The 13,424-nt window shown below is 38.1% G+C and overlaps 1 protein-coding gene across 16 annotated transcripts in view; it reads left to right on the plus strand.

Annotated features, from left to right (window-relative positions):
- ADAMTSL1 (ADAMTS like 1) overlaps positions 1-13,424 on the plus strand; it is a 1,004,318-nt gene that overhangs the window by 710,385 nt on the left and 280,509 nt on the right. For all 16 annotated transcript variants that reach the window (XM_011518064.4, XM_017015312.3, XM_011518063.3 and 13 more), the window contains one exon: positions 5,226-5,352. In XM_011518064.4, coding sequence (XP_011516366.1) covers positions 5,226-5,352 — 127 coding nt within the window. The remainder of the gene's footprint in view (positions 1-5,225; positions 5,353-13,424) is intronic.

The raw sequence follows: 13,424 nt of genomic DNA on the forward strand, positions 1-13,424 counted from the left end.
TCAGATTTGCACAGTTTAGTTTTCCATATTTGTCTTTCCCAGTGCTGAAAATAGAAAGCTTTAAAAGTTTCTTACCTCATGATGTTGGATCAAGAAAAGCTTGACATCACTGGCTCAGTATTTGATGCTAGATTGAGTTCCTTATGGGAAACCATTTGAAATGAAGCCATTGTGAACCCATCCTAAGAATGTCAGTCTGAGGCATGATATCTGCTTATGGATTATGTTTATTTATGTTCTCCAAATTATTAGCATGGTGATCTTTCTTTCTCCTGTGGCTACTAATGAAGACATTTTATTAAACATATTTCAGTGTCTAGAGAATTTCAGTCTTGCATACTGCCTGTTCTCTTGCTATCAGCTCTGTAAAGTGAAGGAAGAAACCCCTACTGCAGGCCTGATGCCTAAAATCTGCACGACATACTAAGTCTCTGAGCCAACTTGGATTGGATGCTATGATCCTAGTTTATTTTTTTTTTTGGCAGGGGGGAGGGGGCTGGGTCGGGGGGCAGTTCTCTCCCTCCCTTTAGTAAATCTGAAAGAAGAATAAAGAAAAATCATCAGTGTTAAGTGTGCTTGCTCAACTCAAAAATAAGACAAGTGGCTGCGTATCTTTGTACACATATATGTATATAAGAGAGGGTACAAAAAGCATACATTTAAGATATGAAAGCAGAAATTGATAACCCACTAGTGGTATCTAAACAATGAAAACACTATTAATTTGGTAAGTTTCAGGGTGCTATTTTGCCTTTCTTTAAATTTTTCTTGGAGCTTCTTACTTTTTTGTTACCTGAGATTAAAATATTGCAAAATAAGCAACACTGTGCAGTGATTCTGGATGAGGATGAGGTCAGACCACTGCATCCAGCTGACACCTCATAGTGGAGTACTAATAAACTGTATTAGACCAAAATATTCAGTTTTCCACTGTTTGCAAAAAAATTTCATGCAGTTGCCAAAGTTATGAGTGGTCATTATCTCACTTAAATGTTTTGTCCAGAATGGGGTGGGTCTGGGAACTCAGTGACCTAAACATTGCCTTCCATGACATTTCTCTAATAATTAACATCGGTGTACTTGGGAAATAGTCTCTAAAAAATAATAGCCCTTTACAGCAATTCTTGTTGATGCATCAGGGCAGAGGTTTAGGTTTAGCCTCTTGCTGTCATTTATGGTATGTCTGTTTCTTTGTGTGCACAGTTAAAAACACATGTACATATACATACCTACACACATGCATGCACACATTTTTGCAGACTCGTATGTCAATGGCTGCAGTCTAAGGTCGCCTATCTGTAAACTACATTGAAACTATTAGCAAACCATTATGTGTTTCATCGATTCAGCAGCGTTTATTGTGCATCTCAAATGTCTGATACTGGGCTGAGCAGCAGAAATATCAAGATTAGTAAAACACAGGTTCTCGGGTAGCCCAGGATGTTGTGTGGAGATAGACATGTTAATAAACTCAATGTAAGTTATATAATAATTTGAATTGGGTATACATGAAAAAAAAAACAAAATAATAGTGGCTTAGACACATAAAAGATTTATTCTCTCACAAAAAAAAAAAAAAGATGCAATCCGTCCAAGTGCGGTTCAGGAAACAGGATCTTTCTCTCTTTCTGCTCTGCCATTCTGAGTACAAGGCTTCCATTCTCAAGATTGTCTCATTTCCAAGATGGCTGCTAGAGCCAGCAGGAAGGTAGGAAGGCAGAGGGCAGAAAAGGCATTCCCCAGCCAAGTCAGCTTCTTTTAAGTAGCCTTCCCAGAAGCCTCACTTCTACTTTTATTTCAGTAATTATGATTTTTTCTCATGACCAATGAGAAATGTATTCTTTTAACTGCATATAATGCTAACCCAGATAAAATTGGGGTCCAGTACAAGAAAAATAAGAGAAGATGGATATTTGATGACAACCAGAAACCTCTGCCACATGGAGGTATGAAGAAACGGCTATGGAAACATACAGCAATAAGGCAGTTACCTCTGGAATCTGGACAGGCTTTCTTGAGCAGACGCCTGATTTGGGATTTGAAGGATGAGTAGGAGTTTGCCAAATAAAGAATAGGGAAAGAGTATTCTAGGCAAAAAATAATAGCATGTGCACAGAGGGCCAATTAAGCCCATTTTTGTATTTCTGTTTATTTTTCTCTCTGTTATTAATAGTAGGTCTTAAAGTAACAACTAATTTTAATTAATCTAATAGTTACTCAAAATCAACAGATTAAGATATGTCAAGTATGATTATCCTGATATCCCTGCAAACAATTTTCCACTTGGACCAAAGTAAGAACATTTTATCTGATATAAAGTATTCCACATTTTAAAAATAATTGAGTTAGAAGATTTTGGCATCTTGAAGAGGAATTGATAACAGAGAAAAGGAAGAAAAAAAAAACAATTGTGTCAGGGAGATGTTAGTCTTTTAAATTCTGAAGCTAAACAAAGCCCATTTAAAACTGACTTGGTTCATATCCTGGGGTCCGTAAACCCACACTGATAGCACTAAGTCAGGCGTCTAGCCAAGCTACTCTTAAAGTATGTCACCTCCTATTTAGCTATTCCTAATATTACCGTTGCTTTGGATCTGTGAAGCTGAATTGTTCTTTACTTAAAATGGTTTTGGAACCGTAAGAAATCTTTAGACTTAGAGAGAGATTTTCATGATTATCTCCTTTGGCTCCATTAGAGGCATCAGAGTCCGTTAAAAATTTTCCAGAGAAACTTAAATCCTTTGAGAAACCTGAAATTCCTATAGTTTAAGGAGTAAACCCAGTTAGATTTGGACGCCTGAGAGTGGAAATTCCTGTGCCCAATGCCTGCGCTGTCCTTCCACATGGTCAAGGATCTTGTCAGATTAAGTCCTCTTCAATCCCAAAAACCACAACAATAGTAGAGTCAATAATGCTTTGAATGTTGCCTAAATTAAAACTGTCATGCTTTCTCAAAGGATTTGGTCCCTCCAAGGCAATTAGGTTATCAGTTTTCTGATTTTTTTTTTTTTTTTTTTTTTTGGCCAACTTGGTTTTTTGCTTCCTCTCCAATTAGTTAGTATCCAGGCATTTCTAAAGGACATGGTGAACCTCATGTGACACCTCCCTTCCATTGTTAACTCTGACTCTTCATTCACATCTCAGCTCAAAAAAGTCTCTCCCTAAGAGAAATCTTCTCTTGCCTCCCTAATCAAATTGAATTCTTCATATTTTATGCTCTCAGAGTGTCATGTGTCTGTGTTTTATACCTTTTTTCATGATTATCATTTTACACTTATTGCGTGTGATGATTTGGGCACTATCTCCCTCTGCCACTAGATTGTAAAGTCTCATGAGAGTGGACCCATAGATGCTGAAATTCACCATTGAATGTTGCTCCTAGCACAGTGGCTGGCCCATAGCAGGTCCTCAATAAATATTACCTAACCGGTTAAATGAATTCTTTTATAAATAAAATACTTCTGTAATCCTATTTCACACTGTACTCAGAATATAACAGTGAATACAGAACTGATCAGCTCATGGGCGGGCCCATCTACAGATATGAATTTTGAAAATAATTTTACTGCAGTTATGTAGAAATACACCAAAGAAGTCTTAAGCCAGCACATGTTTGGCACTGCAGGGATGAAATTCGGTTGCTTTCTGAAGTGGCCTCACTGCAGCCTCTGAATAGATTGAGGCAAACTGCTCCTCAGCTACACTGAACCCATAGGGATAGAGCCCGTCTGCCTTTGTCCCTGACTTTAGAACTCAGCACCATGTTTTCCTGACATCTTTGCATTTAAAAAAAATGTACAGTTATTGAAGGGGTTGTTGCTGTTCATCTATTTTTAAAAGACGTTCATTTGCTATTAATGAAAAAACATACATTACCACATTTTAAAAATAGAGTACATATATAACACAATGTTAAATAATTATGTTTTTAAACCTTCATCTAAACATGTGTTTGCAATTATTATTAATAAGAGGAATAAAAAAGAAAATCAAGCCTCAATCCTCTGGTCATATTAACAACCAGATTTTTGAAAGGCAAGACGAACTGTGAGGACTTTATGAAGAGAAGCCATAAGTCCCTTCAGTTGTCACTACCATTATTTTATTTTGTCAAAGAGAGTAATTGAAATAGTTTGGGAGTAGAATAAATCTTTCCATATTTGATCTAACTAGAACTGTAAGCCATACAACCTGGCATAGTTTGGATTTGAATTTCTAAGACTCAGATATTAGAAAGTAAAGAGGAAAGACACAAATGGCATTGCCCACATACTTTATAAAAGCCTGTGATGTTGTTAAGCCTGATTTGGACCGGGCATAAATGTTTCACGAGGAGTCTTTAGAACTCAGCTGCTTATTAGCTAAGTGACCTTGGGTAAGACTCATGGCCTCAACTATAGAATGGAGATATCTTACTTGCATGGCTCTTTTGAGAATGAATGAGATATTTGTACTGTGCCTGATACAGGACAGGGTAAGGCAAATGACAGGGTCTTAGTGGTATTCATCCCTGCTGCCCTTCATGCAACCGTCCTCTTCCACACACACACACACACACACACACACACACACACACACACACAGTAAGTTTGTATCTGTTTGCTGATTCTCTCCTCTTTTTTAAGCTGGAGTACTAGCTAGAAAAGGAAGTATTTTCATTATTACTCAGCAAATATTTTTTGAGGGCCTACAATTGACCAAGCACTGTTCTCACTGCTTGGAATACATTAATTAACCCAATATACAAATCGCCCACCCTTACGCAGCATACGTTCTAACGAACCATGTGGAACATGGAGATCATTTATAAAATGTTTCCTGCTACCATTACCTCTTGGTTGTAGTTTTTGTCATTTGAGTGCATCATAATTATTAACATAGGAGTTATTCTTGAATTAAGGCCCTAAAACATCAATAATTCAGGATCTTCTCATCTCTCTTACTTTCTCCCCATCATTCCCTACCCTGCTCCCTATTCTCTCTCATTCTCTTTCTTTTACCCTTCTTTCTATTTGTATATCTGAACTTTGAAAACATCTTTACCCATGCTACCTTTTTTTCTTTCTTAGCTTGATTTAAATTCCAGTTGAATTCAGTCCCCTTCACGGGGTATGTTTTAGGCCCCTCAGGGATGAAGGGAGGGTTATTTCATGGTGATTGGCCTCATAATGGATTTTGCCATCGGTAGGTGCTTGGTTGAATTACACATCTCTCTTTCTTGTTAGATTGTTGGCTGCGATCACCAGCTGGGAAGCACCGTCAAGGAAGATAACTGTGGGGTCTGCAACGGAGATGGGTCCACCTGCCGGCTGGTCCGAGGGCAGTATAAATCCCAGCTCTCCGCAACCAAATGTAAGACACACAGAGATGGGCGACCTTTGGACTTGTTGACTTATCCTCTCCTGGCTTAGGTCTGGCCCCACTAAACAGCCAGGGAACAACACCTCCACCAAAACGATAATGAACCTGAAAATGTAGAAGGCTTCATGCTCTGGCATGTGAATTAGCTTAGGTGGGACAAGTCAGGTTACCAGCTGCAGTCCCAAAGAGGAAGCCTGTCCTTCTGAGGCACATCAGGAGTGAACCAGACATGGGGCTACAAATACTTTCTGTACAAACATGAGCTTTGCTGTCCAACATGAGGACAGACTGTATCCCAGCTCCTGCGTGATGTGTAGTGTGCTATGCCTGGTGGAAGATAACGAGGAAAGTGGGAAGATAGCACAAATTCACTCCTGTCACTGTGAAGTCACATGGCCTTCATTTACAAGGTGGTCTTTGGTCAGTACTAAAACAAGTCCTTTCAGAATTAATGTAGGGCAGTGATTACGTGACGTTTTGGATTTTTGGTTTTTGAGTTTTGGTGTTTTGTTTTTGTTTGTTTTTGTTTGTTTTTGACTGAGTCTCTCATTCTGTTGCCTAGGCTAGAGTGCAATGGGGCAATCTCAGCTCACTGCAACCTCCGCTTCCCGGGTTCAAGTGATTCTCTTGCCTCAACCTTGCAAGTAGCTGTGATTACAGATGCATGCCACCACACCCAGCTAATTTTTGTATTTTTAGTAGAGACAGGGTTTCACCATGTTGGCCGGGCTGGTCTTGAACTCCTGACCTCAAGTGATCCACCCGCCTCAGCCCCCCAAAGTGAGGGATTACAGGCATGAGCCACTGTGCCCAGCCTATATGAAGCTTTTTATTGACCTTTGTGTCCTGGTATCTCAATACTAGCAAAAAAAAAAAAAAGTGTACTTATTAGACATGTACTTGCTGAGAATTTCACACAATCGTCCCATGTAATTGTTATAACAACCTCATGAGCAAAGTACTATTAATCCCCATGTTATGGATGAGATAACTGAAGCTTAGCCAGATTATGGGACTTGCACAGAGTCACACAGTTGTAATGGAGCCAAGATTTGAGCTCAGAGTCTGATTCCAGAGCCTAAGCACTTACTTGTTTCTCTGGACTGGTCACAGCCCCGCTGATAGTCTCTGTGGTGGGACATTTGCAAAGCAGATAGATGGATCAAGGGAAGGTGCCTCAGATGTCTACCCAGTCAGGTCCTGCTAGGATAGATGGTACAAGTTCTCATGGTACCTACGCCAAAAATTGAGTCATTAATCTGAGGCATTTTATGATACACAGTCTGACAATCACTATTCTAGGCACTGCAGCAGATACAGATAGAAATAAGACAGCCCTTGTATTAAGGACATGCATTTTTAGAATTATTTTGACATTGCTTGGCATATTGTCTCCAGATTTTGCTACTATGCAGAATCCTTCAATAGATCCCTGACTGAGTATTTCTTTCCATATGTCTCTCTGGTTTGGGAAATGAGAATGAATATCTTTACTGAATGTGTTTTGTTATCTTTACTTGCTGACTAGCTGGAGGAAAACAATTGACATATGGAGAGTTTGTTGCTTTAAATGGACTTATAGGTCAAGGAAGAAAGGCAGATGCAGTTATTCTGGTATGCAGTGGAGGAATATTCTCAGAAGTCCTGAAAAGGCAGCTTGCCAAAGGATTAGCCTCGAGGTAAAAAGAGGAGGCAGAAACAAAGAATGGGGACTTACAAACACATGAAAAATTGGAGATACCAGTTTAGGGAACTCTGTACATTCTAACTCCCTTGGAAACAGTGGAAAATGTAATTCTGCAAAAAAAATAAAATAAATTTAAAAGATTCTGGCATATAGAATAAAGAATGAGGTAACTTAGACATTGATATAACACATTCAGGTGAGATTTTTCTTTGGTCATGTGGGTTGGTAGCTTCTTCCATAAGATGAAAAATTTCTAAAGTTAGAAGATGGAAACCAGAAATGGATAGAGGCATAATTCTCTTGTAAATCATGGTTGGATGTTAGAAAAGAGTTACATTTAAAAGATCACTCTTAAGAACTCTTCATGGAATGCTAAAAGAATTAAAATCCTCTAATTATTTCTGGCATGTAACTGAATCAGTGTTCATTATCTAGGAATCTAGGAATTACTGTTAGGTACAAAAGGAAATGTCATGCATGTGTGCAGTGATGGCTGTATAGTGTCCTGGGAGCATGTTTTTAATGGTAAAGGTGCTTCTTTATTCTCATGCCCATACCTTCTTGTTCTCATAGAGGATCTAGACTACTGTGCTCAGATAGACATTCCTCTTACCCTACTGTTAGGGAGGGATGGGTGACCTCTAGGGCCTGAATCACAAAACAAAGATGGAGAAGCTCCTAAGGAAGAAACTGAAGCAAATTGAGAGCCCTATATCATCTCCAAGTCTGCAAATAAATACCTCAATGAAAAGTGCCCTATTCAAGACCGACAGTAGGTAAATTATATAATACACAACCTGATGATTATACATACTGACAAAATGGAATTGATTCGTTTACCTTAGCACTGATGATGTCTCATGACAAAATGATTGATATCAATAAAGCCCACCATATGCATGCACCTCACCACAATCTATAGCAGATGCTGAACAAACTGCCTCACTTATGTTTCTCTACTCTGGAAGAATCTTCCATCTTATATTTACAGACTGTGAGGCGACCCACTGGCAGGGAACATGAGGCTGCTCTGCAGGGCCCAGTGGAGAAGCCAGGTGAGCAGTTCTCCACACCTGGAGGAGTCCTGCCAGATCTCTCCCCTGTCTTCTGCCAAAAGGCACTGTCAGCTCGCCACATGCTCTCTTCAAACTTCTGGCACTCAGATTCCCCACATTGAACTCACTTTCTTTCTGAACTTATATCCAAGTTTTTTTTTTTTTTCCCTTATGTTATCAAGCCTCAGAGGAACAAAGCAAAAACAGGAAAGTGGAGAAAAACCATGGTAGAATGTGCCAGAAGGATAAAGAGAAGTAGGAGAAGTTTATCAAATGGCTGCCATTTGCTGGTGATTTTTAAAAAATCATCTTTTTATTAAAAGACATTACAATTGCCTAATACAAATACAGACAATGGAAATAGAGCAAGATCAAAGTACTCTTTCTCCTTTCTTAAAGGAAAAGACTACCCACTGGTAGCACTCAGCCTTTTCATTTTTTCTAGTTACTTCTCAACTCCCCCAACCCAATAAAAATAGTCAAATATAGCTGACATTACCTTGCTTTTGATTCTTAAAATTTAAAAGTTCATTTCTCACAAGATTTATTGACTTATACTATGTTCTATATTTTCCAAGTATACTCAGAATATTCTTAGGGCTAGAGCCAGCCTATTTGCTATCAATTTGATATTTCCAGCTTTGCAGAACTCTCGTCTGTATCTGTATGTTTTGAAATCACCTGGAGATCCTAAAGCTCTCTCTCTACCTTTCTTGCATGGTGAGGTCACTTAACTCACTTATATCAAGATAAAATTAAGCTTTTAATACTTAAAAATGTGCTTCTCAGACTGTGGCTTATGCTGACGTATAATGGCTATGGGTAAACATATTCTTGGACTATCATTCTAGCTCAAAGATTTTGAGGTAAAGTACGCTTATAATAAAACACAGGCCTCTATGTTATAAAGTACAAAATACATATGGATTTTTTAAAGAAAGCACAAAACACTAAAGAAATTTCCACCTGCCCCTGGCTGCTTTGGGCTATCCTCACAAGCCACTCAAGGATATATTCATTCAACAGCACATATTTAATGGGCACCTGCTATATGCTGAGGAACTGTTCTAGGTGCTGGAAACAGCACAGAACAAAACAGACAAAATCCATTTATCTTCCTAGGAGCCATGGAAAAAACAAACCAGAGCAGGAGAACAGGAAATGGGTATAGGCTGCCAGCCACAGGTGATGCAGGGGAGCTGCAATTTTCAGTAAATTAATAAAGAAAGGACTCACTGATAACATGGCATTTAAACAAGGATCTAAGGGAAGTGAAAAGGGGTCACCATGCAGAAGTCAGGGAGAAGAAAATTCTAGGAAAAGAGAAAAGCAAGTGCAGACGTCCTGTGGTATTTGCATTCGGGATATATTTCATGAAGAACAAAGAAGCCAGTGTGACTAAAATGAGGTGAGTTTCAAAAAGGCTAGAGAAAATGATATGAGGCTGGGGGAAGAATGGCACAGATATTGTGGGGTTTTTTGTAAGTCTGAATGAAATGGGAAGTTGTTGGAGGATTTTGAACAGAGGAATAACTTGATCAGATTTCTGCTATACTGAGAATAGACTGTAGTTGGAAAGATATTACACTAAGCCAGGCCACAGATGACAATGGCTTGGACTGTACCAGTAGCTGTGGAAATGATGAGAAGTGATCCAATCATAGATATACTGCACCTGTATTTATTTTCTTTCTTTCTTTCTTTCTTTCTTACTTTCTTTTTCTTTCTTTCTTTCTTTCTTTCTTTCTGTCTTTCTTCCTTCCTTCCTTCCTTCCTTCCTTTCTTTCTTTTCTTTTTTTCTTTTTCTTTCTTTCTTTCCTTTCTTTCTTTCTTTTCTTTTCTTTTTCTTTCTTTCTTCTTTTTTTCTTTTATTGAAACAGGGTCTCACTCTGTCACTGAGGCTTCAGTGCAGTGGCACTATCACAGCTCAGCTCATTGCAGCCTTGACCTCCTGGACTCAGGTGATCCTCCCACTTCAGCCTCCCCAAGTAGCTGGGATTACAGGTGCACACCATCATGCCTGAGTAATTTTTGTATTTTTAGTAGAGATGGGGTTTTGCCATGTTGGCCAGGCTGGTCTCAAATTCCTGGCCTCAAGTGATCTGCCCACCTCAACCTCCCAAAGTGTTGGGATTACAGGTGTGAGCCACGGCACCTGGCCACCATTTTAAATTTTAGCCATTCTTATCAGTGAGTAGTGGTATTTCATACTTGTTTTTATTTGCATTTTCCTAATGGCTAATAATGTTAACATCTTTTCATGTTGTATTATCTTGCAATTGCTGCTGTAACTAATTACCACAGACTAAGTGATTTAAAGCAACACAAATTTATTATTTTATGGTTCTGGGGGCGTCAGAAAACTGAAATAGGTTTCACTGGGCTAAAAACAAGGTGTTTGCAGAACACAGCTCTGGAAGCATTGAGGGAGTATTTCTCTTTCTTCAATTTTGATTTTCCTGCTCCTGGAGCCTATGCACATTCTTTGGCATCTTCAAAGTCAGTAGCTTAGCATCTTCAGATCTCTCTCTGACTCAAGCTTCCTCTTCTGCCTGCCTCTTCCATATTAAAGAATGTTTGTGATTACATTGAGTCCACTCAGATCATCCAGGATAATCACTTAATTTTAAGGTGACCTGATTAGCAATCTTAATTCCATTAGCAACCTTAATTCCCCCTTGCCACATAATATTACACATTCACAGATTTAAGGACATATTTGGCAGGGGAGAGGGATACATTAGTCTACTTACCACAGTGTGCTTTGTTCATCTTTTGCATAGTGTCAGTTCAAGTCTGTTGCTCATTTTTAAAAAATGTGTTGCTTGACTTTCTCTTGTTGAGTTTTGGGAGTTCTTTATATATACTAGGTACAAGTCCTTTGTGGGATATTTGAATTGGAAATATTTTCTCCATCATAGCTTTTTTATTCAAAATTGCTTAATGTTATCTTTCACAGAGCAAAAGCTTTTCATTTGGATGAAGACCACGCTATCATTTTTTTTCTTTTACGGCTCATGCTTTTAATGTCATGTCTAAGAACTTCTTGCCTAAGACCAGGACACAAAGATTTTCTCCGTGTTTTCTTGCAGAAATACATTTCACCTTTAGATCAGTGACCTATTTTCAGTTATTTTTTGTATAAGGTGTAAGTTTGATAGGTAGCTTGAATTTTTTTTCGTATAGACGCCCAATTCTTCCAGTACCATTTGTTGAAAAAGACAGCCTTTTCTCTTTTGAATTGTCTTTAAACCTTGTCAAAAATCTATTGCCGTTTCTCTGAGGGTCTGTTTCTGGACTCTATTCTGCTATGTGTCTGTCCCTTCATCAATACTCCATTTTTTTTATTACCGTGGCTTTAAGGTAAATCTTAAAATGTGGTAGTGTGATTTCTCCAACTTTGTTCTTGTTTTCAAATTCATTTTGGCTATTCTATTCTGGGTCTTTGTCTTTCCATATAAATTTTACTATCTGCTTGTCCATATCTACAAAAAGTCTTGCTGGGATTTTTTTGTGTTAATTCTACAGATTGATTTGGAGGGGGTAGGAATTGACATCTTTAGCATGTTAAGTCACTCAATCTATAAGGTATGAGAATTTTATGTCTCTGTTTACTTAGGTCTTATTTTATCTCTTTGATTAGCCTTTATTAGCTTTCAGCATGAAGATCGCATATACTTTATATGATTTACATCTGTTGTATTTTTTGTAACTATTGCAAATGGCATTATATTCTCTTTTTTAAAATTAGAGATGAGGTTTCACTATGTTGCCCAGACTGAAGTGCAGTGGCTATTCACAGATGTAATCATAGCACACTACAGACCCACATTCCTTAGCTCAAGTGATCTACCTGCCTCAGCCTCCCAAGTAGCTGGGACTACAGGAGTTACTGCGCTTGGCTTGGCATTGTATTCTTTATTTCCATGTCCAATTATATATTCCTAGTTCACAGAAACATGATTGATTTTTGTGTGTTAGCCGTGTATTATGTAAACTTGATACACTCACTCAATACCTCTGAGTTTTTTGGTAGATGACTGGGATTTTCTCAATAAACAATCATGTTGTTTACAAGTAAGAGTGGTTTTGCCTCTTTTCAATTTGTAAGCCACTTTTTTTTTTGTAGTCTTATTGTACTGGCTACGCATGCAATACAATAGTGAATAGGAATGATGACAATGGAGGTCCTTATCTTATTCCTAATCTTAAGAGGAAAGCATTCAGTTTCTCACCATTGAGTATGATGTTAGCTGTAGGTTTTTATAAATGCCCTTTATCAGATTGAGGAAGTTCCCTTCCTTTCCTGGTTTGCTGAGAGTTAATAACATGAAGGGATGATGAATTTTATTAAATTCTCTTTTACCTCAACTGACAAAGTCCTGTGGTTTTTCTTCTTTAGATTGTTATTGTGATGAATTACATTAATTGGTTTTTAAATAACCAACTCTGCATTTCTGGGATAAAGTGTACTTGGTCATGGTGTATTATTCTTTATATAGATTTCTAGTTTGATTCGGCAGTATTTTGTTGAGGCTTTTTATCTGTGTTCATGAGAGATACTGGTCTGTCGTATTCTTTTTTGTATTGTCTTTGTTTGGTGTTAGTATTAGCACAAAATGGCCTCAAACGATGAGTAGAGAAGTAATTGCTTGTCTTCTTTTTTTCTGGAAGAGATTGTATGGAATTGAATATATTTATTCTTTAAATGGCTGCTACCATGCCCCAGTGAAATTTTCTGGATCTGGAGATTTATTTTTCAGTATGTAACCTTATGAACTTATGGAACACCATTATAGTAACTATTTTAATATCCATTCTGTGTTTGGATTGATTGATTTTTCACTTTAATATGTGCTGTTTTTTTTGTTTGTTTGTTTCTTTGCGTGCCTCATTATTTTTTGACTTGATGCCAGACATTACAAATTTTACTTTCTTGGGTACTAGATATTTTTGTATTTCTATAAATATCCTTGAGCTGTGTTCTGGGAGCAGTTAAGTTACTGAAATCAGTTTGAACCTTTGGGGTCTTAAAATGTGGTAGACAGGACCAAAGCCATGTTTGGTCTAGAGCTAATTGTACCCTTTTACTGAGGCGGGACCTTTCTGAGTAGACTACTTAATGTTCCATGACTTACAAAGTTTGTCACTTTGGCTGATGGGATAAGATACTATTCTCAGCCCTGTATGAGCACCGTGTACTCTTCTCTATAATTCTTTTGTGTAGTTCTTTCCCCAGGCCGGGTAATTTCCTCACACTTATGTATTGATTAGTATGCTGCTGGCTACTTTAAGGAAACCCTCTTGGGTGTCCAGAGTTG

The sequence above is a fragment of the Homo sapiens genome, chromosome 9, assembly GCF_000001405.40.
Source record: "Homo sapiens chromosome 9, GRCh38.p14 Primary Assembly".
NCBI classification, from domain to species: Eukaryota; Metazoa; Chordata; class Mammalia; order Primates; family Hominidae; genus Homo; species Homo sapiens.